This window comes from Homo sapiens, chromosome 4, assembly GCF_000001405.40.
Source record: "Homo sapiens chromosome 4, GRCh38.p14 Primary Assembly".
In the NCBI taxonomy this organism is placed as follows: Eukaryota; Metazoa; Chordata; class Mammalia; order Primates; family Hominidae; genus Homo; species Homo sapiens.
The window spans coordinates 184427258-184452332 of record NC_000004.12 but is presented as its reverse complement, the minus strand read 5'-3'; the positions used below and the strand labels follow the sequence as shown (position 1 = coordinate 184452332).

Genomic DNA, 25075 nt, shown 5'->3' with positions numbered 1-25075 from the left:
GAATGCTTTTCCTGGGCCGAAGCCTATGGTCTTCGCATTCTTTGTGCAGCGGTATAATTTGGAAAGAAGCAATGGTCACTTTGGAGAGCCAGCCCCTTTGCTCAGCTCTCCTGTGCCCCTGTGCTGCTGTCGTTGCCCCTGTCACCTCTGCCAGCATCATTTCCCATGACTGCAGTGCTGGGGGGACTTGGGCCTGGCCTGGGTCCCTACATCACCTGAGGAGGGTCTCCAAATAGAGGTGTGAAGGTTTTACAGAGATTGTGTAGGGATTTCAGGCTTTAAACCCTTGCTTGTCTTTGCTGCTGCATTTGGTGTGAGAGATTGCAAAAAATGTGTATGTTTTTATTGGTGCAACCCTAGGGTCATACAGGGTCAAAAGGCTTCCTCTTTTAGGAAGAGTCCCAGACAGCTGCTAACTTATCTTCTTGTTCCATCCCTGTTTATGGGGGATTTGTATTTTTAATTGCCTTTCACTCTGAACAAAGACTGAGCAAGCAGAAAGTGTTGGGAAGGGCCCCAGGGAACATTCTGGCTTGTGTTTTCTTTCTGATCTGTGGGCCTGGGGGACTTCAATGTTCACTTTCCTGACAGGAGGAGACAACCATAGGAACTAGTGTGGTGTCCAGTGCCAGCTGGGGAAGGAAACCAGTTTCCTAGCATTTATGTTTCAGGATCAATGGCACATGTAGAAAAATACTATATCCCAGGGGTTCTATATTACCAAGAATACCCCTGAAGATGAAGCCCATTTTTGGATCCTCAGTTCTCATGATAATGGAGTTTGATGACCTAGAGTCAGCTTTGGCATGGGCTAAGCCAGAGCACCCTTTTAAAATGAGGATAGTAATGAGAACGACCCCATGGGGTTACTGTGAGGGTTAAATGAGATAATGTATAGAGTTTAATGCTGAGTGCATCATGGGTGCCCAGTGAATAGTCATTGCTCTCACAATCCCCACCACCACTATTATCTCCCTAGACATCAGGAGAACAATTTTGTGAAGCAACTTTGGACTTTTGCATGTATATATTTATAAACAATTCAGTGCCTGCAAATGTAGAAGCTGATTTAAGTACCTTGGCCCTTATGGTAGGAAGGTCTCTGGGGCCCCTTCACCTTGACCCTCTTTACCTTTAGAGTTTCTTCTTTCTTCACACTTTCATGAGGAAGTATGTGCCTCTTTGAACTGAATTTCTACCCAAGTACCATGGAATCTAAACAGTTCAGTGCTTTTCAACTTCTCACGTTGCATAATATTTGCCATTTGATTCAAAATTACGTGATAAAAGAAATGGAGGAGGTAAACTTGCCAGACAATTCCTGTGTCTGTTTTTGCATTTGTGCTTCTGGGTATTTAGTCTTTTCGGTTTGCACCAGGGCTTCCGTGGAGGAGGAGGGCATGTGAAATGGAGCAGTTGCTTACGTACTGGTCTCAGTGGACGGTGTGGATGTCATTCATAGGGCATGCACAGCAACAAACAAACAAACAAACAAATGCCATTTAACGTGATCCTTGGAAAGGTATTTTTATAATAACTTTAGTTTTTAAATCAAATATTTAGAATGTCATGGAGAAAGAACAATGATATTACAAATGCCATCATAAAGGAACCTTAGGGAGACTATTTTAAAGAAATTTTGAATCTAAATATTTAAAGCTTTTCTTATTTTATAAGTATTTTATGTATTTGATTGGTAAGGTAAAGCACATACGTATTGTTAGGTAAACTCGACTTAAAGGAAATAATACTTTTAAATGGCTACTTAAGATTTCAAATTTTATAAAAATATTTAGGAAAAGTATTTTTCCACTTTCTAATAAGCAGAAATAGTTTGCATTACATTTTTTCATTTCAGAACTAAACAGTGCTATTATTCACTACATTAAGCCTAGTGTGTGCCAGATTAATGTGTAATATAAATACAGTTTAAGGAAAATGATGCTGATTTTTCGTGTAGCGTGATAACAATAATATATTCCAAAGATTGAAATAACTTGAAATCTACTGCAAGCCCCAAATCCCTTATTTGCAATCCAAAATGCTCTGAAACTGAAAGTTATTATCATGACTCATTTGGCAGGATAGTCTGCCCTGAATTGACATGAAGCTATTCATAGCTTTTATTTATCCCAATCAGTGTGAATGTTCGTGTTTCACTGCAGAAATATTAACTGTGTTGGATTAAGGGGTTCTGCCCTAATTACTTTCCGGGGTGTTTTGTTCCTTGTGGTATATGGTATGTGTACCGCATTATCTTGCTAACATCCACACACTTTTGAATTCTGAAGACTTTATCTGGCCCCAAGATTTTGAATAGAAGACGGTGAGCCTGCGTCAGTATACCTAGCCCCTACAACCAGAGGCTTCTCACATCCTGGTGTTTCCAGGAACAGTCGCTCTTTATATCTGTTTCAGGTGTCAGTATTAATGAGACCCCATTCACATTCAGAAGTGCTCCATTTTGGCTTGGTCACCATACTAACCACATACCATAGTTCTTGGTAACGGCCAGCGCAGTGTTGGTGAACATCAGTACATTTCTAGTGAATTCCCATGTATAAAATAAACAAGATCTACATAAACAACATTCCAGATTGTATCTTGAAAACCTAAAGTCATTTAAAGCATTATTGGTAAGGTATCCCCGACTGCCTGTCTAGATGGCATTTCCCACGCATTGGTGCACGCTTCTTTTGATGGCAGTTCATCCTTCTCCTCACTGTGATTGCCTGTGTCCCTGTCTTCTCTTTCTAGGCTGCAAGCTCCTTCCGTCATTGCGTATCACTGTGCTGGGCGTATATAGCAAGTTCATTATTTAGTCAACTAATATTTATTGAGCGTTGGCCTCTGCCGTACTCTGGGCCCTGGGAATAGCATGGTGAACAAAACAGAATTGACTTTGGTCCTCATGGAGATTCTTGTCTACAGATTTGGGGGCCTGGCCTGGTGAAATGGAGAAGGTTTGCTGTCAAGTGACTTTGAAGCCAAATCTGAAAAATGAGTAAGAGTTAGCTTGGGAGAGGGGATGCTCTTGAGGCTGAGGGGTGACAGACGCAGAGACTTGGGACGGACCCCTCGCTGGAGGCTTGTGGGGTAAGGACAGGCTTTAGGCAGTGGAATGATGAGAGTCTGTTTGTGCTTTTGGAAGGGTGTTCTGGCTGTAGGGCAGAGCTGGGTTGGGGTTGGGGGCCGAGGAGAGCAGTCTGAATGGCTGCCTGGTCCAGGCTTTGTGGAAGGAAGGATCGGTTCTTCACCCCTGGTTTCGGTTTCTGTTCTCAGTGTGGGAGCTGTTCTTGGACAGTGCTGTGTGCTCTTCTCCGGAGTCCGAGGCCAGGGGAGTAACTGCAGTGTTCAGCCAAGTACGAGCAAGTGGAACTGACAGTTGTTCAGGCTTCCGTCTTGCACACGTCGAGGAAACGTTGTAAACAAGAAACAAAAAGCAAAGCCCTTACTCCTAGTGGGTCTTCCCTGAGCCAAGTGCTTGAAAAGCTGTGGGAGTGGGAACTGTTGTCATGATCGAAAATGAAACTATTCTGGGAATGCCAGATTTGGGGCGCTGGGAACCCTGAAGTGTCCTGCAGAGAACTGGTGGTGGAGGGGCCTCTGGAGGACAAACATCTACAATTTGCAAATCTATCAGTGACCCAGCGATGGCACTTCTGGCGGTTTTTCTTCCACCTTAACTTTGAGGTGAGGCAGAGTGACTTGGAAACCAATTCTGTGCTTTAAAATATAAAACATAAATAACTTCTATTGAATTAGCACAGAAGTTTGGCTGGAGGTAAATCTTTGGCGCCTAAATCTGAGCGCTTTTCTCTCAAATACGCACGAGAGCTCTTTGGCCGTCTTATTTCTCCTCTTCTACACAACTGAACAATTTAAATGAATTATGGACCATCACTCCTCATCTCCCCCAGGAAATGAAGCTTAGAGCCTCCTTGTTCAGCTAATTGTTGCTTGATTAAGCTGCCCCTTATGGATGGATAGATAAAGTGATTGATGCATGTGCTTATTAATACCATCCTGGTGCACGGAGGACGAATAAACCGCCAGCAGCTTCATTTAAGCACCACAAAGGGGGTTTCCTAGAGTTTGTTGTATTTGCAGAAAGGCTGTCGTCGTCTTTCCCTCTGTACTGGAAATTACTTACCTACTTGGTATTGTCTTTCTGGCCAAGTCGTTTTCTTTTGAGCTAATTTCAGACTTCCACCACAGTTTAACAATAGTACAAAGAATTATTTTTCTACATCTTTGGAGAGTAACTTGCCAATACTGATATCCCATCACTCCTGAGTACTTGAATGTGTCTTTGCTGTAACGAAGATAGTCTCCATTGAGACCCTGGCACGGCCATCAGAATCAGGAAACTAGCACCGCTGTGTGAGTCGCCTCCCACCCGCAGACCCTGTTCCTGTTGGAATGTCTCAGTCATGTCCCTTGCAGCAGGAGAATCTGATGCAGGGCTAGGTGTTGAATTTCGGTGCCCTGCCTCCTTCATTATTCCTTGACTTCCATGAACTTGACACTTTTGACAATGACAAGGCAATTTTCTTAGAGAATGTGTATCCGTTTGGGCTTGTTGACGTTTCTGGTTATGCATTTCTTACAAGAATATCACGGCGGTGAGACTTTCTTCTTCTTGCATCCTTACAGGTGATACATGCTTTTGATTTGCCCCTTAATTCGTAACGTTCATTTGATCTTTTAATTAAGGAGCCATCAGTCAGCCTTCTCCATGATAAAGTTAGTCTTTTTCCCTTTGTCATAAAAAATATTTTGTGGGAGGTATTTTTGAGGCTATGTAAGTATCCCATTTTTCACCAGCCTTTTACTCACTGGTTAGCATCCATTGGTATTTCTTGGCTGAGTACTACTTTGATAGCTACCAAATGTTGATCTTCTAAGTCCATCATTCTTCCTACATTTATTTGTTTGCATTCTACATTATGGGAAAGCTTTTTCATTCCCCTATTTATTTATTCGTAGATTCCAATTTTGTTCAATGACAGAAATACATTTCAGTCATGTATTTGGGTGCTCAGATTGTCTTAGATGTGGCCAGTGGGAGCTCCATCAGGTTGGGTTCTGTGACTTTTTTTTGACATGTTGCTATTATCTTTTGAGCCCTTCCTTATTTCCTTTCCCAGGCTTATCTTTTGCTTTCCCTGCCCCAGCTCTGGAGTCAGCCATTTCTCCAAGGAGCCCTGATTCCTTTTGGTGGAGGATGGTGTTTGGAAACCAAGATTTGTGCACTGCCTGTGCTCATTGCTGTTGGGGTCTTGCTGTTCCCAGGCCCTTTTAGTGTCAAGGTTAGAGAATATGTGTATTAGTTGCATATATACTTACACATATGCATGCTTTTTTTGTTTTTTTTGAGACGGAGTCTTGCTCTGTCGCCCAGGCTGGAGTGCAATGGCGCGATCTTGGCTCACTGCAAGCTCCACTTCCTGGGTTCAAGCAATTCTCCCTGCCTCAGCCTCCCGAGTAGCTGGGACTACAGGTGCCCGTCACCACGCCTGGCTAATTTTTTTTTTATTTTTAGTAGAGACGGGGTTTCACCGTGTTAGCCGGGGTGGTCTCGATCTCCTGACCTCGTGATCCGTCCGCCTCCTATGCATGCTTTTTTACCTCTGTATTTATTTCTGTGTTTATTGAGATATATGAAAAAGCACAAATTCAAATCAAGTCCTCCTATTCTAGTGCCACAGCCTGGGTTATTGTAGTTTTCTTTCTTTCTGTATCTGTAACTTCCTTCTCCAGTAGTCAAAAGCCTCACTTCCATTACCCTGGTATATAATATAATTTACTCAGTTGCCTGTGTGTATGTGGTCTTATGTCCCCACGGTTGCCCCACCACAATGACGATGCCCTCCTCACCTCCCTGTTCTGGCTCCCAGCCCCTGCACAGGGCTGTGGTCTCCCTCCTGTGTCTATCCTCACTGCCCACATGGGCTTTTGTATTCTGTGTGCCAGGTGGCTGCTGCCCCAGCCACCCTAACAGGTGCTCTCTTTCTGCCAATACCTACCCTGGCTGCACCTGCCCCTCTACCCCTAGTGTCTACTCTATTAGTTTCCTGTGGCTGCCATAACAAATTACCGCAAACTGGGAAGCATGAAACAACAGAAATTTATTCCCTCACAGTTTTGAAGGCCAAAAGTTGGCAATTAAGGTATGGGCAGGGTTGGTTCCTATTGGGGACCCTGAGCGGGAATCTGCACCATGCCTCTCTCCTACCTTCTGGTGGCTGCTAGCAATCCTTGGCTTTCTTTGGCTTATGGAGGAGTCACTCTAATGCCTGCCTCTGTCTTCATACAACATTCTCCTTTCTTCTATGTGTGTCTGTGTCCAAGTTTCCCTCTTCTTAAAAGGACACCAGTCATATTGGATTTAGGGCCCATTCTAATCTGGTATGACCTCGTTTAACTTGATTATATCTGCACAGACTCCATATGCAGAAAAGGTCACATTCACAGGCTCCAGGTGGACACGAATGTTGGGGGGCCACTGTTCAACCCAGTACATCTTCTTTGCTGCGTTGCATCAAATGGGCTTTTGGAGTAAATCATTCATAAAGGAAGGGTGGAGGAAGGAAGGGAAGAAGGAAACTCAGTTGTTTTGAGAAGAATGTTCTCTATTACTGTATTGTTCTTCTTCTTCTTCTTTTTTTTTTTTTTGTGATGGAGTCTCACTCTGTCGCCCAGGTTGGAGTGCAGTGGCATGATCTCAATTCACTGTAACCTCTGCCTCCAGGGTTCAAGCGATTCTCCTGACTCAGCCTCTTGAGTAGCTGAGATTACAGGCACACACCACCATGCCCAGCTAATTTATATAAATTTTAGTAGAGATGGGCTTTCACCATGTTGACCAGGCTGGTGTTGATCTCTTGAGCTCACGTAATCCGCCTGCCTTGGCCTCCCAAAGTGCTGGGATTACAGGTGTGAGCCACTGTGCCTGGCCTATTGTTCTTATTTTCTCATCTAAAATTAGGGCACCCTGCTGACATCAGGACAGTCTTGGAAAACTCAGGACTTAAGAGTGAGCACAGGATGGCACTTAGTGTGATGACACTGGGCTGTTCAGGAAACACGTTCACCTTCTGTTCTGTGCCAACCCGGGGTTGGGGCACACCCCCGCCCCCCAGAGGCCCAGTTCCAGGTCAAACAACTGTCTCTTGGTGCATGTTGTCAGCCCGGCGCATGCTCTGAGTTCTGTAAGGGTGAGTGAACGGGGAACTCTGACTGTCATTGGTGCTGTGGGGGAAGAGAGCAGCGTGTCAGCACGTGGACTCAGCTGGGGACTCATGGGGAAGCCACCATGGTACGGCAGGGCCTGGAAGTTTGCGCGTGGTCCTTGATTGCCCTGATGGTTAAAACCACCTGCTCCCCGACTTTTTTCACATTATGCTCTGTGCATTCCTGCACAAATTAAATATTCTAGACAGTAGTTCTCCCTTATCTGTGGTTTTGCTTTTAGTGGTTACAGTTACCCATGGTCAACTGAGGTCTGAAAATATTAAATGGGAAATTCCAGAAATAAACAATTCATAAGTTTTAAATTGTGCACTGTTGCAAGTAGCATGATGGAATGTAACATCCCACCTCTTCCTGCCCAGGACATAAATCATCCCTTTGTTGAGATGAGGGAATCTGCTGTAGTCCCAATACTCTATTATTTGACTCTATTACATTTTCTTTAAACATCTTCCCACTGTCTGGTATTTGGGTTAGTTTTGCTATATAAATAATGCTCTTTGAACAATGTTGACCATAAATTTGTGTCTGCAGAAACTATTATTTGTTAAATATCAACTATTGATGGATCAGGTACTAGGCTAGGCATGTTACACATCTTATTTAATCCTTACCGCAAACCATGCGGAAGTTATCCCATTTTACAGAGGAGAAAACTGAGGCATAGGGTCTTGGGTTCTGTTACCTTCTGCGTTTGGTTCCTGAAGCAGTGCCCTGGGAAGTGGCTATAGTTGCCGGATGGAGACCTGAATGGCTTCTACAGTTGTGGAGATGGTGACCAGCACCAGGGGATTTCTGAATTTTTGGGGCAATGGCTTGTTGATTTCTCATTTAAGGTCTCATTTTTATCACTATACTGTATATGAGATAAGGTTCCTCTCCTCATCTCATATACAGTATAGTGATAAAAAAGCGTCACTAGCCAAGGCTGGCTCCTGCCCACTTGTCATGGATATGGGAGCCGCCGAGGTCTTCCCTGGTCTCTGCCCTGCCCTTAGGGGGCTGTGCTGTCCTGGAGTCATGTGGCTGTCAGACCTCGGGTGTCATCCTGAGTCCTGCATTGCAGCTGCCATCCTACTCCATGATGAATAAGGGTAGGCCTATGAAGGGCCTAATCACTTATTAGGAATTTGCATGTTGCCAAATTAATAAGCTAAGGGTCAGACATGATTGATCACCATTAATACCCAAACCATTTCCTAGGGCTGTCATCTCAGCAGGAGTTGTGGTCATAGATGAGCTTACACTGGCTAGGGAAAGCTTTCTGGGATGGGTGGATTTAAAACTGTCTCCTGGATTTCTCAAAGAACTAAAAATAGAACTGCCATTCAACCCAGCAATTCCATTACTGGGTATATACTGAAAGGAAAAGAAATCATTCTAGCAAAAGATACCTGTACTTTTATGTTTATTGCAACACTATTCACAATAGCAAAGATATGGACTTAACCTAGGTCCTCATCAGCAGTGGACCGGATAAAGAAAATATGGTATATATACACTATGGAATACTATGCAGCCATAAAAACAATGAAATCATTCACAATAAGAAGCATGGAGCTGGAGGTCATTATCTTAAATGAATTAACACAGAATCAGAAAACCAAATACTACCACATGTTCTCACTTATAAGACGGAGCTAAACACTGAGTACACATGGACATGAGGATGGGAACAAGAAACAGTGAGGATTCCAGAAGGGGAGAGAGAGGAAGTAGGGCAAGGGTTGAAAAACTACCTATTGGGTACTATGTTCACTACTTGGACAGCAGGATCATTAGGAGCCCAAACCCCAGTATCATTGCAATATACCCATGTAACAAACCTGCACAGGTACCCCTGAATTTAAAACTGAAAGCAAAAACAAAAACAACCTGTAATCCCAGCACTTTGAGAAGCTGAGGTGGGTGGATCAGCTGAGGTCAGGAGTTTGAGACCAGCCTGGCCAACATGGTGAAACCCCATCTCTACTAAAAATGCAAAAATTCACCGGGCAAGGTGGCACGTGCCTGTAATCCCAGCTACACAGGAGGCTGAGGCAGGAGAATCGCTTGAACCTGGGAGGCGGAGGGTGCAGTGAGCAGAGATCGTGCCATTGCACTCCAGCCTGGGTGACAAGAGTGAGACTCTGTCTCAAACAAAACAAAACAACCCCTCCCACCCCGCTGCCCCCACCACCCCCACCCCCACCCCCACAAAGTTATCTTCTGAAGACCAAGAGAGAAGTACTTGGTATCAAGTGGTAAAAAACAAACAGGGCTGAGAGATTTAAGTAGGTTGGAGAAAGGAGTTTTGGGGCACAGGGTTTTTGTACTTCTTGGAGGTCCTGATACTAAAAATGAGGTCATTTTTAGAGTGGGAAGCAAAACGGCCCCATAACGAAGTGTTTGCTCTTCATATGCACTGAAACGGCAGGAGGTGGAAATTGACAAATATTGAGGATGCTTACTAGTTCACTGGTTTTCAGCACCTTAAATAAATGTTAATGTGAAATTAACATTAAGATAGTGGCGCGTTTGTCTTCTATGGGACTTACTTGTGCTTCTGAAATAGTTCTTCAGGTTAATCGGTTATGGGCTGGGCAGGGCACACTTTCCTCCCCTTCTGCCTTCAAAAGACCCTGGAAGCACCCAGGTGGCCCTGCTTTATGGCAGAAGCAGCAACTAAAATGAAACAACTGATTCATCTGCATCCAGGTGATGCAAAGCCAGGAAAAAGCCCCTCTGGTTCTCTCTTGTTTCCTTAAAGAGAGCATGGAGGTGAAGGGGTGGAGAGAGGGCGAGTATCTTTATTTTGGAGTATGGGAGTGTTTTCCTAGTCCGGACTACAAAAGGAAAGCTCGGGTTGGCCAGGAAACGCAGCATGTTTTGTTGATGCCCACTCGCTGGGAAAGTATTAAATGGGGCAGGAAGTGTGACTTTGGAAGGGGCTGCATAAAGGAGGCTGGGAAACTGCTTCCTGTGCACCCGGGCCAGCTCAGGAGCTGGAACGATGTTTGGCAGGCTGTGGGGATCTTGCTGCCCTGGCTGTGTCCCCTTCCACACAGGCTCCCAGTGCAGATGCCAGGTCAGACGGAGGTGTGGGGCCCTCTCTACCTCTTGATGTGAACCCCAGTTTGGCCTGCCTGTGCGAGCCTCATATCCAAATGCTAAGTCAGGGCCTAAGACTCCAGTTCAAATATGAGTTCTACCACTCAGTAGCTCTGTGACCTTGGGAAGTTACTTAACCTTACGTGCCTCAGTTTCTTCATCTATAAAATGGGGACCACAGTAGTACCCACGTTCTTGGGATGCTGTGAATCAGGTGAGCTTATCCTCTTAACGTGCTTAGAACTTGCCTAACACTGCTAAGCGCTTAATACTCCTTAGCTATTGTTAATACCCTCATGGTGGAGGATATTGACAACATCCTGGTAAGTGGGACACTCCCTGCTGGCCAGCTGGTATCATTTTCAAGGGTTTGCAGGTCTAGATCTGGATGAGGCAGTTACTCACAGAAAAGCTCCCTTGCTTACCAACAGGTTGTGTTCCAAAGGTGATTAAGTTTGCAGAGTGTGCATCAGGCTTTTTAAAACTAAGCTTTTCCCAAAACAAAGCTGTTTCAGTAGCAGGAACATTACAGGGGTGTCACGAGCAGGTATTTTCTTTCCACCAGACACCTGACCACTCACTGTGATTTGGAAAGATTAGAACCGGCCGGGAAACGATGTTTCCATCTTTGATGACAAAGCTTTCCTCATTCATGGTAGCCACATTTCAGGTATTCAGGAGCCACCTTGTTGACTGCCCTGATAAATAACAAGTTAATAGTTGCAAAATGTCTACTGGATAGTGCTGGTCTACATTCATTGGGTGTTTGCTGGGTGCAGAGTACAAGGCCTATTTAGGCCTAAGGAGCGTTGGTCTCAGTGGATTAAAGCACATCACAATGAACCAGTGACTTTAGGACAGTGTAAGATGCGTGCTAACTCACTGTTAGAGGCAGTGAGTTTTATGACTTCAAGGGAAGGGGGCATGTATGTGTCTTGTGTTGGCCAGGCCAAGTATTGTGGAAAAGAGACATTTGAACAATCTTTCAAGGTATGGCGAGACGTTTCCAGGCTAGGCCTTTCTCCTGAGCTCCAGCCTCGCACAGCTAGTAGCCCAGCCATCACCTCTTTTTGGGTATCCCAGAGATCTCCAACCCTGTAGGCCCCAAACCACTCTCAGTATCTCTCCTCAAACATCCCACATCTTCTGTTGCAGAGTGGCACTCCCACCCATCTAGTCTAAGAAAGGGAAAAAGGTCACACCCAAGTGAGTATGAAGAGGGAGGCGAGGTAGACATTCAGAAAGAAGAGCCTCGCAGATCTCTTTTCTCTGTGAAGCTGGAGGCAGGGAGGGATCTGAAATTGCACCTGTGGAAAATGGGAACAGGACCTGGGGAGAAGAAAGCAAAAAAGATCTGCAGAGGCAGAGACTCTGAGAGCTCAGATGAGGCGATCAGCCGCCCATCTGCTGCGAGGTTCTCCAGCCTCTCACAAATGTTTGCAGTGTGAGCAAACAAGACGGAGGCATGAAGGCCCGTTTGTAGTGGGAAAGTGGCCAGGCCACTGTGTGGGAAGGAGAATGGGGCCGGGGAGGCCCCTGGAGCTGGAATCCCATGTTAACGTTGCTGCCCACGTTAATATATAAGCCTACGTAGTCTTGTACTCTCACCCAGCAGACACGCAGTAAGTATAGGCCTCCGCTGTGTGGAATGTGGAAGTGGATTGAAGGGAGGGTGGCCGGGACAGGGACGCTGCAGCAGCTCGGGGCAGAGCGGAGAGCCCCTGAACAGGCTGCCGCGGGAGCATGGAAGGAGGCCGTGGGTAATGGGGATGGTCTGACAGATGGAGACTGCACCCCTTGGTGGCTGACATGGCAATGGGTGGGAGGGCCAGGGAAGTGGCTACTGAGCCAGGGAAAGTCAAGAAAATGTCAGCAGAGAGGTCTAGCTGCTTTCCCATTCGTGTTCTTGCACTGTGTTTCTTACATCTGCCTAGGGAACTGCCCTTTGAGAGTTTGTGGGGACCTTTCTCAGAAAAGTACACATCTGGGTGAACGTTAACACACTGCATGTATTTTTAAGGCTTGATCTCTGGACGAAGAGCTGCTGTTCTTGTTAGGCTGCATTGAGAACTGTTTTCTAGAGTGACCACTGGGTCATCTGCAGAACCAAGAACCAGTGATAGACAGGTGACTTTTGTGCACACACACATAGGGGCCCCAAGTCAGTTTGCTCGATTATGGTTCGGATGCAGCACACATTTCAGGTACCAGAGGAGTCTGTGGTCAGAGACAAGGTAAATTTTATAAAGCAGCTATGGGAATAGCTTCCGAAAGGATATAGAAAACGTGCCTAATAGGAAAATTGTGCATAGAATGGCAAATATGTAAAACTGTAATCTGGATGATTTTCAGCCTGGAAAACTAGTTTTGTGGTATTTGAAAGCATTTTAGACTTTTGATTTCATATACGTTTCTATTCCATTAATGATGAAATCTATTCACCACTGGCCTCCTGTTTTCCCATGACTCAACTGGAGATGTTTATTAAACATCTGGAATCTGGAAGTCCATTGGGTTAATGGATACTAAATAACAGTGATTTTCATACTTAATTGCTTATCAAAATTATTCTAGGATAATAAAAAAAATTCCCGGTTCTTATTAGAGTGGGGCCAGGGACCTTTTTTTTTTTTTTAAGTACCCCCGCTCCGCCCCGCTTTTTTTTTTTTTTTTTTAAAGTTTTAAGGTAATAGCATTGCAAGGCAGTTTTGGGATAGTGGCATGAACAGAACAGAAAAGAATAAAGGTGGGTTATGATGTATTTGGAGTAGCAGTCCTGCCTCATCATTCATCCTGAAAAATCTACGTAGTAGGAGAATTGGTGGTTGAATTGCTTGAAACCTTATGAGGAAGACTGGCTGGAGACTCCCATTCTTAAATGAACCTATGACTTTCTAAAGTTCAACAAAACATAAAAATCAGTTTTGCATTGGTGCAGATAATATGTACACTGAGAGGCATGGTTTTTTCCGTATCTAGCCCTCCATCCAAACGTTAAACGTCTTTCTGATTTCAGGACTGGCAATGGCTGACTTCAGCCGTCAGGGTCCCATGAGAGTCTGGAGAGTGATTTGAATGTCGCAGGCAGAGCAGGAGGAAGCGTGGCCGCATAGGAAGGTCTCAGGCCATGCTTCCTCTCTCATATAGGGGGTCCTGTTATCTTTGCTCCGAACATACTATTTTCATGCCATGAAGTTCTTGTACATTTTATTTCTACCTCTTAGCAGTCAGTACAGCTCTTAGGGTATGCTTCTCCTTGTTTCCCTGTTTCTACAAAAATGTTAAAAATATTAGGCCAGGCGCGGGGCTCACGCCTGTGATCCCAGGACTTTGGGAGGCCAAGGCAGGCGAATCACATATCCTCTTCTGCATTCTACTTCCCACAGTGCCCCCTCCCTCTCTCTGCCGTCCACATGCTCGCACACACCTGCACACACACTGTCGGGAGGCAGTCCAGCCTAGTGCAATGTTTTTATACCCCTTCAACCCCAGGACCAGTATAATATAATGTGACATTAAATGGAAGCAAACGTTTCATAAAACAATGCTTACCTCACTTTGTTCGGGGTGCTCCCTCATTTTCCATTCTATCATATTGTAAATTAAAATTAAGTTAAAAGTGCTGATCTTAATGCAACAAATGATCCCACGACCCTCTGGTGGGTTGTTAGCAGAGACTTGCAAAACACAGGTCTAGAGGTTTCTGGCATATTCTTTGGAGTCAGACGGATGTAGATTTGAATGTTTGCTTTACCACTTAATGGCTGTAAGTGGAGCTTTGTAAGTAGCTTCATTTCCTCATCTGTAGAATGGAGAGTAGCTACTCTGCCTCATGTGGCTTGTTGGAAGATTAAGTGAAATAACGCATGAAAGGCATTTGGGCTGAGGGTCAGGCTCTAGTTAGGGCTGGAATGGTATTAATGATGGGGATGATGATGATGATGTTCAACTTCTAACTCCAGCTTTCAATTTACATAACTTTCATGGAAATTCTTACTTTTGCTGAAAAAGCACACAGAAGTCGTTGTGAGGAACTTGCAGGAGGAACTTGCATTTGGGAAAAGACTATTGTGTGCCCAGGAAAAATTACTACTAAACACTGCTGTTAGATTCCTATACGCGTGTCATCGTGTGTGTGGGTTTTTTTTTTTTTTTTTGTACGTTCCAATAGCCACTGTCCTGACCCAGAGCAGTAGTTCTAGCTCACCTCCTTCCCTCCATTTGGCTCTGTATAGAGTGCTGCATGACTCGTGAAACTGAAGCATGGCTTTTCCCAAGTCGTGCACTCAGAAGTCATTATAGCAGCCTGCGTAAACAAGCTCAGACTCTAGCTGGGCATCTGAGACCCTCCTGAGGTTCAAGTCCTGCCTCCTCATCTAGAGGCGTGGGTGACTTAGACATTTTCTTTTCTTTCTTATTTCTTCTTCTTATTTTTTGTGGGGGCTGCCTTTTTGGCTATGCTTTTCCTAATCTCTAAAATGATGATAATAGGCTGGGCACGGTGACTTATGCCTCTAACCTTAGCAGTTTGGGAGGTTGAAGTAGGAGGATCACTTGAGGCCAGGAGTTCAAACCAACCCGGGCAACATAGGTAGTGAAACCCCTGTTTCTACAAAAATATTTTAAAAAATTAGGCCAGGCGCGGTGGCTCATGCCTGTAATCCCAGGACTTTGGGAGGCCAAAGCAGGTGGATCATCAGGTCAAGAGTTCAAGACCAGCCTGACCAACATGGTGAAACCCCGTCTCGACTAAAAATACAAAAAAATTAGCTGGGCGTGGTGGCGCATGCCTGTAATCTCAGCTACTCAGGAGACTGAGGCAGGAGAATTGCTTGAACCCGGGAGGCAGAGGTTGCAGTGAGCCAAGATTGCACGACTATACTCTAGCCTGGGTGACAGAGCGAGACTCCATCTCAAAAAACCCGAAAAACAAAAAATTAGCTGGGTGTAGTGGATGCACCTGTAGTCCTGGGTACTTGAGAGGCTGAGGTGAGAGGCTCTCTTGAACCCAGGAAGTCAGGACTGTAGTGAGCTAGGATTGCACCACTGCACTCTAGTCTGGGTGACAGAGTGAGACCTGTCTCAAAAATAAAATGAAAAAATAAAATGGGGATACTAGTATTTAACTGGTTAGAGCTGTTATGAGAGTTAAAGATGATTGATGTGAAATACCCAGTGCTTGCTTCTCACACACCAGTGACTCTTATGAAGACACCCCTGTTGGTGCATAAGACAGTTGCTCTGCTCACATCAGCAAACACATCTTCAGTCCTGCTTTGGCCGCCGATACCAACCTTTTACCTCCCCTGGCTTGCCTGCCACCTTCTCCCTGCCTAGACAGCACCTCCCCATCCATTAAGGTCTTCCTTTACCATAAAGCTTTCCTTTGCCATAAAGCTTTCTCTTATATGCCCATTTAACAATGATTTATGTATTCCTTATGAACTACCTAACTTAGTTGGCAATTAATAATACACTACCTTCTGATCTTTATTGCATAGTCTTTTATTATTATAATTATAGGATTATTAGTTAGCTTTATGTGATTTATCTCTCACATCCTCAGTTAACTTATTTGTTCCTTGAGGGTAGTGATCATGTCTTACCGTCTTTGAATCCCCCACAGCACTCAGCACAGTTCCTTGTAACAATGTGTGTTTAATGAATTTTTGCTGATCCATTGGGTGACTGGGTAATAAGAAAAGGCGTTCCATGGCCGGGCGCAGTGGCTCACGCCTGTAATCCCAGCACTTTGGGAGGCCAAAGTGGGCGGATCACGAGGTCAAGAGATTGAGATCATCCTGGCCAACATGATGAAACCCTGTCTCTACTGAGAATACAAAAATTAGCTGGGCATGGTGGTGGGCACCTGTAGTCCCAGCTACTCCGGAGGCTGAGGCAGGAGAATTGCTTGAACCTGGGAGGCAGAGGTTGCAGTGAGTCGAGTTCGAGCCACTGCACTCCAGCCCAACGACAGAGCGAGACTCTGTCTCAAAAAAAAAAAGAAAAAAGAAAAAGAAAAAGAAAAAAGAAAAGCTCCAGAGATAATATGAATCCTAGGGTAATGTTATGTTCCTCAAGATCTGATTTCTATTTACTTTTGGTAGTTCCAGGTCATTTTCATTAGATCAGGGATTGAGATGATTCAAAGCTGGGCTTCAGCCTTTGATATTAGTTTATTTCTACTTAGTTGTATTACTTACAAAGCTTGTGAGGGTGTTTCCAGGAACCCCTTTTCCTAGCTGCATCCTGATGTTCAATTTTTGTCTCCTCAGTCACCTGAGTGTGTCAAAAGCTCTGCTTTCAAAGCCCCACAGCCTCCTCTTCAGAAAGGAGCAGCTGTCCCTGCGCTAGGACGACAGCAGCCCTAAATGTCAGGTTCACCTTCCTGGGTTTCTTTTTCTCCTAGATCTTGCCCCCCTAATTTTTAACTACCTTGTTAGCTCTCTGATGCATTTAAATGGATTTTAAAAATATATTTTGTCCATGTTTCTTAGTTATTCAGCCTGGGAGTCAGGTCTGAATTACCTACTGTACCATTACCAGAAGCACCACCCCCCTCTCAGCTAAGGAATTTATTACCTTAAATCCAGCAGGCACATTTAGAAGTCTCTGGAACAGAGAATTAACATGATTAAATGGTATTTTAGGAAGATGACTGTCAGTGGTTTGCAAGACGGAGAGGAGTTTGGAAAGTCTCAGTAAGTAGAACAATTAAGAGGTCTTCATAACTCAGTGCTTTCTAAAGTACGATGAAGGCAGAGGTTAGAGTGGATAAGCCTGGGTGTTTCACGTTAGATAGGCCTGAATTTAAATGAGAGTCTTGGCTCTCCACTTACTAGCAGGTAATAAAGGATAATAAAGTCCCTATGTCCTAGGGTTGTAAGGGTTAAATGGCAAAACTTGTAGAAAACCCTAGGTTTTTTATTTTCTATTTTTAGAGAGGGGCTGTCTTTCTGCCACCCAGGCTGGAATGCAGTGGTGTGATCATGGCTCACTGCAGCCTCGAACTCCTGGCTTCAAGTGATTGTCCCACCTCAGCCTCCCAAGGAGCTGAAAAGACAGGTGTGTCCCACCACACCTAGCAAGAAAACCCTAGTTTTAATGCCCAGCACATAGTAGGTGCTCTGTAAATGGTAACCGTTGCTCTTACTATTCCAAGAACCAAAATTCAGTTATTTGGGTGAAAATTCAACCTCACTGTTAATAGCACTAATCATGGATAGTACTGTCAACTTCATGGGGGATCATTCGTGACTTACGAATCACAATGAATAGCTTGCATGCCTTATATAGCAGGCTTGGCACCAGTGATATTCTCAGTACCCACCATGGGCTGAATTGACTTATGGCCAGATGCCACAGTTTTGAAGCCAGTCCCAGCCTCAAATCTCAAAGGTGTAAAGGTAGATGATTTTACAACGTGCCTTTCGTCAGGCTCCAGGGTAGATGCTTCAACTCTTTTACTTACTTTGAAGTACAGGTTGCTCATATATTAGGTTTGCAGAACCATAAAATTTTAGCATTTTACTTCTAAAAACAACCTGATGTGCAAGAAGAGAAGCTTACAGAAAAAAAAACATCAGATTATGATTCATCGTATCATGGATAACCCCAGGAATCATCTGTTTAAAACGTCCCATTTTTCTAGATGATCAAAGTGTGGGCCGGGAAGATGGAGGGATTAGCCCAAGGACACACACCAGCAATGGCAGAGTCAAGGTCGCGACACAATGTCCTGATTTCTGTGCATTTTGGTTCTTAGACAAACATAGCCGCTCTGTGTCATCTCCACTGAGCTACCTGCCTTCTCTAACTCTGTTCGAGGTTCACGTGGCCTGACTGTTAGCGCCTGTGGGAGGCTTGCCTTACAGAAAGACCAGCGTGTCACCTTGACTTTCGATAATGGAAGCTAGACGATACATACCGAGTAAGCATCTTTCTTTCCAGTCCTCAGTCCTCTGACCCTCTGTGCCTGTCATCTCAGTCTTTTAATCTCCGGAAACATAATTAATCTGTTTATAGTGTCCAACTAAATGATCCGTTTCTGGTGCTAGGCTTGAGGTAGATTCTGCCTTTGCTGTTTTTCACAGAAGTAAAGATGTACGCTCACCCTCGGCTAGTCGTGAGAAACCTGTGTCAAATGGCAAACTTTGTACCGTGTCGCGAGGCAAGCGCACTGGTAATGCACTACCTGCCCAGGGCGTGGGAGATGGGTCAGGGGAGAAAAATCAAGTCACAAAGGAGAAGGGCCTTCATGTGACTGGGTTAGCTTTTCATTGAGTCTCATTGGAGATGTCCTAGCTACAAACAAACCAACCAACCAACCAACCCAAGCAAACAAAACCTGAAATAAGTGTAGCCCTTTTTAAGTTTATTTTTTACTCTGATGAAATACTTGTTCGATTTTTTGCTTTTTCTAAAAGTTACCTATAATTAGTAACAGTCCTGATTGAAGATTGTGAACTTTTCTAATAAGTTTGCGGTTTGGCTGAGCTGCATCCTTACTAGACAGGCATGTTGCGTAAGTGAGGAATGCACCCAGCCGGTGGATGACAAGCCCGGCACGCCGACCAGTGGAGGAGTCTATCAGAATGGCCAAAATGACCACACGGCAGGAGCATGGGAGAGCCAGGCCATTGAGCATGAACAATAAGGGGACTCTAGAGCTTTGCTTCTCAGAGTGTGACCCAAGGACCTAGGGGCTTGTCAGAGATGCAGACCACAGCGGTCGCCTGGAATCCACTGACTTGGGATTCCTGTGCACGTTCAAGTTGGCGAAGCGCTGGATTTCAGGATTTCACACTCAGCTCTTCCCTTTACGTTGGCCAAACTGACCCTATCATTCTTTTGCTAAAATCCTTCGGTTTCCTCTTCAGTCTTAGATCGTGGTCATGACCAAAATCCTAGGCATGGTCTTCTGGGTGAGCCGGGTCTCTGGGCCCTCCCTGTCACTGACTGCTGTCCACAGGGGCCACCTTGCCTCAGGGCCTTTGCAGCTCTCCCTTCTCTGTTGGTTGCTCAGGGCTGCCGTAACAGATGGCTCTCACACAACAGAAATGTATTCCATCACAATTCTGGAGGTCAGAAGTCTCAGATCAAGGCATCAGTAGGGCCCTGCTCTGCCTCAAGGGTCTTGGGGAGAATCCTTCCTTGCCTCTTCCAGCTTCTGGTGGCTCCAGGCATGGTTAGCTGCAGCAGCCTCACTGCAGTCTCTGCCTTTGGCTTCACGTGCCCATCCTCCCTCTGTGTCTGTGTCTTCACGCGGCATTCTTCTCTGTGTCTGTGTCCACACTTCCCTCTTCTTATAAGGACATCGGGTTCCTGCGAGCTACTGGTCACAATATTTTGTCAGCTGATCATTGTATAACCTTGTCTTATGTGTTTCTGTTTGAAGACACCCTCTGTAATATTTATTGTTGATTGATGAGCATTGAACTCACAGCACTATAATGCATGCCTGAGCAAAGCTTATCTAATATACGTATTTTCCCTGTAAGGCGCATCATAGCCTTCTGGTTCTTAGGAACCCGGGAAGGCACTTCAGCACAATGCCTGGGGGCCATTTTAAACAGCAAAGTCACCAAAAAAAGCACAACGATGTGACAAATGTCGCACTCTGTAGCCTGTGAAAAGAACACTTGTCTGCCATAGGAGAGCAAGAGCGGGAAGGCAGAGTGTGGCCTTGTCCAGCCTCAGCTGGGAACACGTGCATCAGATGACTTGAATTCAGCACATGTCCCCGAGTGACCACCAACGCATCTGAGTATTGATTTGGGGGTTGTGGATATATTTCAGTGAGTAGGCAAATTCACAGATACAGAATCTGCGAACAGTGTGGATCGAATGTGTCTTCACACACAGGCTTTAGTTTTAAAGACAGAAAGTTGGGTTTTTTGTCTTGGTGCTTTGCTTTACCTGACAATTGACTTTTTCAACTACTGTTTCCGTTTAAAACTGATCTTCGCTGTCTTTCAGAGAGATGCCTGTCTGTGAGAACTTTAAAAGCCATCACTAATATAAGAACGGGAACCACTGTGGGCTGGAGGGGGTCACCTGAATAGGAACCATACCATATGGCTTTTTGAACTATTTCAGATGTGACCATTGTTTTTTTTTTTTTTTCCCCCAACTGGTTATTTGTGAGAAACATAATGGAGGAAATATTATATTCTGAGTACTAGCTGGAGGCAGGGCCACTTCCACACGCCTCTCGTGTTTCCATATTGCCAGGCTCAGGCTCAGCTGCAGCGCCAGGGACCACGCACAGCACTTCTGCACGTCAGGCTGTCAGGAGAACTGGCGTCTGTTGCTCTCTACTCGTGACCACTATACCTACCCCTATCCTGTAACTACTCTTCCCTCGCTCTTCCCTCTATTTTCTTGACCGCTCTGGATTTAGTGGTCTCCAATCTGTGTCTTGAGGTCTTTTCCAGAGGGAAGATCAGGCTGGGCTGGTGGTCACCACCCTGGCGGGCAGAGCTCTTGCAGGGTGAGCCTTTGAGGGGTCACCAGTGCACTCCTCTGTGCACAGCTTTTCCCAGCACTCCCTAGTCTTTTCTGAAACTCTTTATCATCTTCATGGGGCATGGTACCTCCCTTCTTTCCAGTGTCCTGTTAGGTTGGGAGTTCCTAGATGGCAGGGAATGTCATCTTTCCCTGTTCCTGGAGCATCATTCTCAATACATGACCTTTGAATGGGTGGATGAACAAATGAATGAATGGAACAAATGAATGAATGAGACCAAGAGCAGCAGTATCTGCAACTCCTTGTGGCCATTCCGTGTTCTTGTGAAATATCTCTAAGGTTCCCGTTTGTGTCTCAAAGAATGGTGGCTGGAGCCTCCATATGAGTGGAGGAGGCCAACCTCTGACGGCACCCCACCTAGGCCCTCAGAGCCGTCTTCAGAGCTGGCCTGGGCCTGGCAGTGAGTGTTTCCTATGTGGAAGGCAACATTTGCGCTTTGTAGGACTAGCAAAAGACCTAGAAGAGGGCGGAGCATGGGAGCTCATGTCTGTAATCTCAGCACTTTGGGAGGTCAAGGTGGGAGGACTGCTTGAGCCCAGGAATTTGAGACCAGCCTGGGTAGCATAGGGAGACCCCAGCTCTACAAAAAATAAAAAAAAATAGCTGGGCGTGGTGGCTCACACCTGTGGTCCCAGCTACTGGGAGGCTGAGGTGGGAAAATCGCTTGAGCCCAGGAGGTTGAGGCTGCAGTGAGCTGTGATCATGTCACTGCACTCCCGTCTGGGTGACAGAGTGAGACCCTGCCTCCAGAAAAAAAAGGTGATGCTCTTCCTGCGGTAGAACTTAAATTTGGTTAGGAAAAGAGAGTGGACTATACACAGCTGAGAGGTGTATAGGTAAGGCAAGGGATAAGATGAAAGACTTTACTTAAAACAACTGCCCTAAAGCAATGTTTGGTTTTTCAAAGGAGCAGTGTAAGATCAGTGAGTAACATAGGAGCTGGAGGCAGAGGGACTACTTTAGGCGGGAGTGGTCTGGGAAGCCCTTGTGGAGGAGGAGGCTAGGTCTTAGAGGGCGGATAAGGACCTGCAAGGCCAGGGAATGAAGAGCAGAGGGCACGGGATGAGCACGGAGCAGGAGGTGTCTGCAGCAGTCAGTGGGCCAGACTGCAGGAGGCATACAAGGAAAAGGCTGGGCCAGACTGCAGGAGGCATACAAGGAAAAGGCTGGGCCAGACAGCAGGAGGCATACAGGCCCAGGGTGAGGCCCAGGGGCTGGGGGTCACGGAAGGATGCTTGTAACTCTGGCATGTTCTGGGCGCAGGGAATAGAGGAGAGAGGAAGTCCATGGCAAGCTGGGAAGGAGAGTTATTGAGACATCAGCCCAAATGCCAAGGAATAGAATTTTCAGAGCTCAATTTTGGAGGAAATGAACAAAAGAAGGAAGGGACCAATCAGGATTGAGAAGAGGATTACAGTGTCACACTGTCTGTGAGGTCCTATAGAATGGAGGCTTGCACCTGACCCATCTTTGCTTTTGGAGCCCAGATTAGATGTGAATGCAGGCATAGATAGGGTGAAGATGAGTGGGGGACAGTGTGGAAGGTACTTTGTTAGTGATTCCCCTCTGGATCTATTCCGATGGACCAGGAGAAGTCTATCTTAGAAAGGAATCTGGAAGCAGCAGGGAGGCATTGTGTGGACTGGCGGAGGAAGGGTGGTCAGACTATGAAAATGATTTTCAAAGGGAAAGTAAGTTAAAGGAAAAGGGGGTGATGTCAGGTCAGCGGGGAGGCTGGCATTGAAGAAAGACACTTGGGTGAGAGACTGCATTCGGGTAAAAGCAAAAGCAAAGGAGATACCTGTGCAGGCTTCCAGGGGCTCTGGAAGTAAAGTCAGGAGGGACGGGTAGTTGGTGGAAAACTTTGGGAAAGCCAAATTAACTGATTCCTTTCGAGCTTTAAATGTTAATATTGGGGGTTGAAAGCGTTTGTATAACCCAGATTCTCAAAAGGAATGGCTTGGCTATCATAATTTTTTCCCACAACTGCTTTGCTCTGCCCACCCCTTGGCTCTTGGAAGGATCATCCCCAAAGGCGTTGGGGCCTCTGAGCAACGGAAGCCTCAAAACACGGCCAGTGCAGTGGGGATAAAGCCTCCCTCTAGGCAAATTCCTGGGGAGGAGTGTGGGTCCTGGTCTCCAATGTCCATAGGACCCTCCCAGCGGAGGGCAGGCCTGGACCATCCTGTGTCTCCAGATAGCCCCCTGGCCGGTGCGAGGGCTGGGCTTGCACAGGTGGCACAGCCCCTGAGTACACCGACCCCCCAGCCCCCTGGTCCCCAGCCCCAGGAAAGGAGAGAAGGAAAGAGTCAGGCGGGGTGTAGAACTCTGCAGTGCAGACACCACACTGAGTGGCACCAACGCCTGACGCTGTGTTTCTCTCCCTCAAGGGCACCATGCCGGTGGAAAGGATGCGCATGCGCCCGTGGCTGGAGGAGCAGATAAACTCCAACACGATCCCGGGGCTCAAGTGGCTTAACAAGGTGAGTGGGTCAGGGTGGGTGTATGTGTGAGAGAGGTCCTGGCTGAAACACGCCCATGCGGACTGCTGAAAGTAAAATCGTGTGTATTCAAAATCTTAGGCTTATTCATGACAAAAACCAGCCAACCCAAAATGATCATAAAACATCAAGTTATCATCTCAAAGGCTTTTTTTCTTTTAGAGACAGGGTCTCACTATATGGCCCACGCTGGAGTGCAGTGGTGCAGTCATAACTCACTGCAGCCTCGACCTCTTGGGTTCAAGTGATCCTCCCACCTCAGCCTCCAGAGTAGCTGGAACTACAGGTAAACGTCACCACACCTGGCCAATTTTTGTATTTTTTTGTAGAGCTGGGATCTCGCCATGTTGCCCAGGCTGGTCTTGAACTCCTGGGCTGAAGTGATCCTCCCACCTCAGCCTCCCAAAGTGTGGGGATTACAGGCATGAGCCACTGAACCCGGTCACAAAAGGATTTGTATCCTGTACGACTGTAGCCTCAGCCTGGAGTCTCCAATGTCTGCTCACCTTTGGTGTTTTGGCTGACTGCCTCTCGAAAGCTCCTTGCTTTTTTTGGAAAGCTCCTTGCTTCTTTGAGGATTCTTACCCTCTTCCTTCTCCAAATTCCTTTTTTTTGCTTCTCCTGGCCTTTTAGGACTAGAGGACATGGAAACTCCAGGGTTTTATATTAGGAATGGAGCATTTCCTTTTCCATGTTCTCTGTTTAAAGAAAGCTTGTTTTTGTCTTTAAAAAAAGCCTTCTTTTTACCTCTGTAATGAAGCCCTATCTGTGTGTCCACCTTTCCTAAGAAAGCAGCCAGTCATTTACAACCTGCCCCTTCCAGGCACAAACACTCCCTTACTTTGTTAACCTAAAAACTCTTAATTTAATTGATCCTAGCTGTTAGGGGTGAATCAGAAAGAGATAATGTCGGCAAAAATGAAAAACTTCTAGAACTATATAATCTAGAAAAGCAACTAAATATATATCATGCCTTCTTTAAGGAGGCCCAGGAGAGAAGTTCCTCTCCTACCAGAACAGTTCTGAGTCAATGCCTTTTTCCTCTTCTCCACTCCCTCCCCTTTTCTTTTTTAATCTTAAGGACACAATGAATAATTTAGCTGGCCAGGCTTTATCTTTGTATCAGGTACAAGAGCTTAGAGCCAGATTGCAGATTGTAGCCTGCTTCCAACAAGGGAACAGGATATTGCAGTATAATTTTTTTTAACTAATATCATTCCTGGCCTTATTGGGTCTTTTCAGATATCTTTCAAATCTTATTTCTTTTTACTATTTTCCTTTTATCCACTTATTTTGATTTTTTTTTTGTTTTCTTTAGACAAGGTCTCCCTCTGTCACCCAGGCTGGAGTGCAGTGGCACGATCTCAGCTCACTGTAACCTCTGCCTCTGTGCTGAAGCGATCCTCCCACCTTTGTCTCCCAAGTAGCTGGGACCACAGGTGCGCTCCTGGATAATTTTTATATTTTTTGTAGAGATGGGGTTTCACTATGTTGCCCAGACTGGTCTGGAACTTCAGGACTCAAGTGCTGCCCGCCTTGGCCTTCCAAAGTGCTGGGATTACAGGCATGAGCCGCAGTGCCCAGCCTGATTTTGAATTTAATGTTACTGTGTTGAATATGTCTGTCTGAGCCTTTCTGAAACAAGGTGAGGCACTAAGTAAATAGAAATGAAGAAACCATCTGCTTATTTCCTGTGACCTGT

The 25075-nt window shown here is 45.6% G+C and overlaps 1 protein-coding gene across 1 annotated transcript in view, besides 3 other annotated features; it reads left to right on the top strand.

The window, feature by feature from the left end:
• IRF2 (interferon regulatory factor 2) overlaps nt 1–25075 on the top strand; it is an 86822-nt gene that overhangs the window by 22218 nt on the left and 39529 nt on the right. The window contains exon 2 of the mRNA NM_002199.4: nt 23263–23355. Within this exon, the coding sequence (NP_002190.2) occupies nt 23269–23355 (87 nt within the window). The 5' untranslated portion in view covers nt 23263–23268. The remainder of the gene's footprint in view (nt 1–23262; nt 23356–25075) is intronic.
• Nucleotides 7061–7210: an enhancer, noted in NCBI's record as "active region_22218". NCBI's record gives its function as "activates an Ori minimal core promoter by ATAC-STARR-seq in GM12878 lymphoblastoid cells {active_cell/tissue: GM12878}" and the evidence as "EXISTENCE:reporter gene assay evidence [ECO:0000049][PMID:35858748]".
• Nucleotides 20885–21536: an enhancer, noted in NCBI's record as "H3K4me1 hESC enhancer chr4:185351951-185352602 (GRCh37/hg19 assembly coordinates)". NCBI's record gives its function as "activates a minimal SCP1, AML or CMV promoter by ChIP-STARR-seq in primed H9 embryonic stem cells {active_cell/tissue: H9 hESC(primed)}" and the evidence as "EXISTENCE:reporter gene assay evidence [ECO:0000049][PMID:30033119]".
• Nucleotides 21537–22188: an enhancer, noted in NCBI's record as "H3K4me1 hESC enhancer chr4:185351299-185351950 (GRCh37/hg19 assembly coordinates)". NCBI's record gives its function as "activates a minimal SCP1, AML or CMV promoter by ChIP-STARR-seq in primed H9 embryonic stem cells {active_cell/tissue: H9 hESC(primed)}" and the evidence as "EXISTENCE:reporter gene assay evidence [ECO:0000049][PMID:30033119]".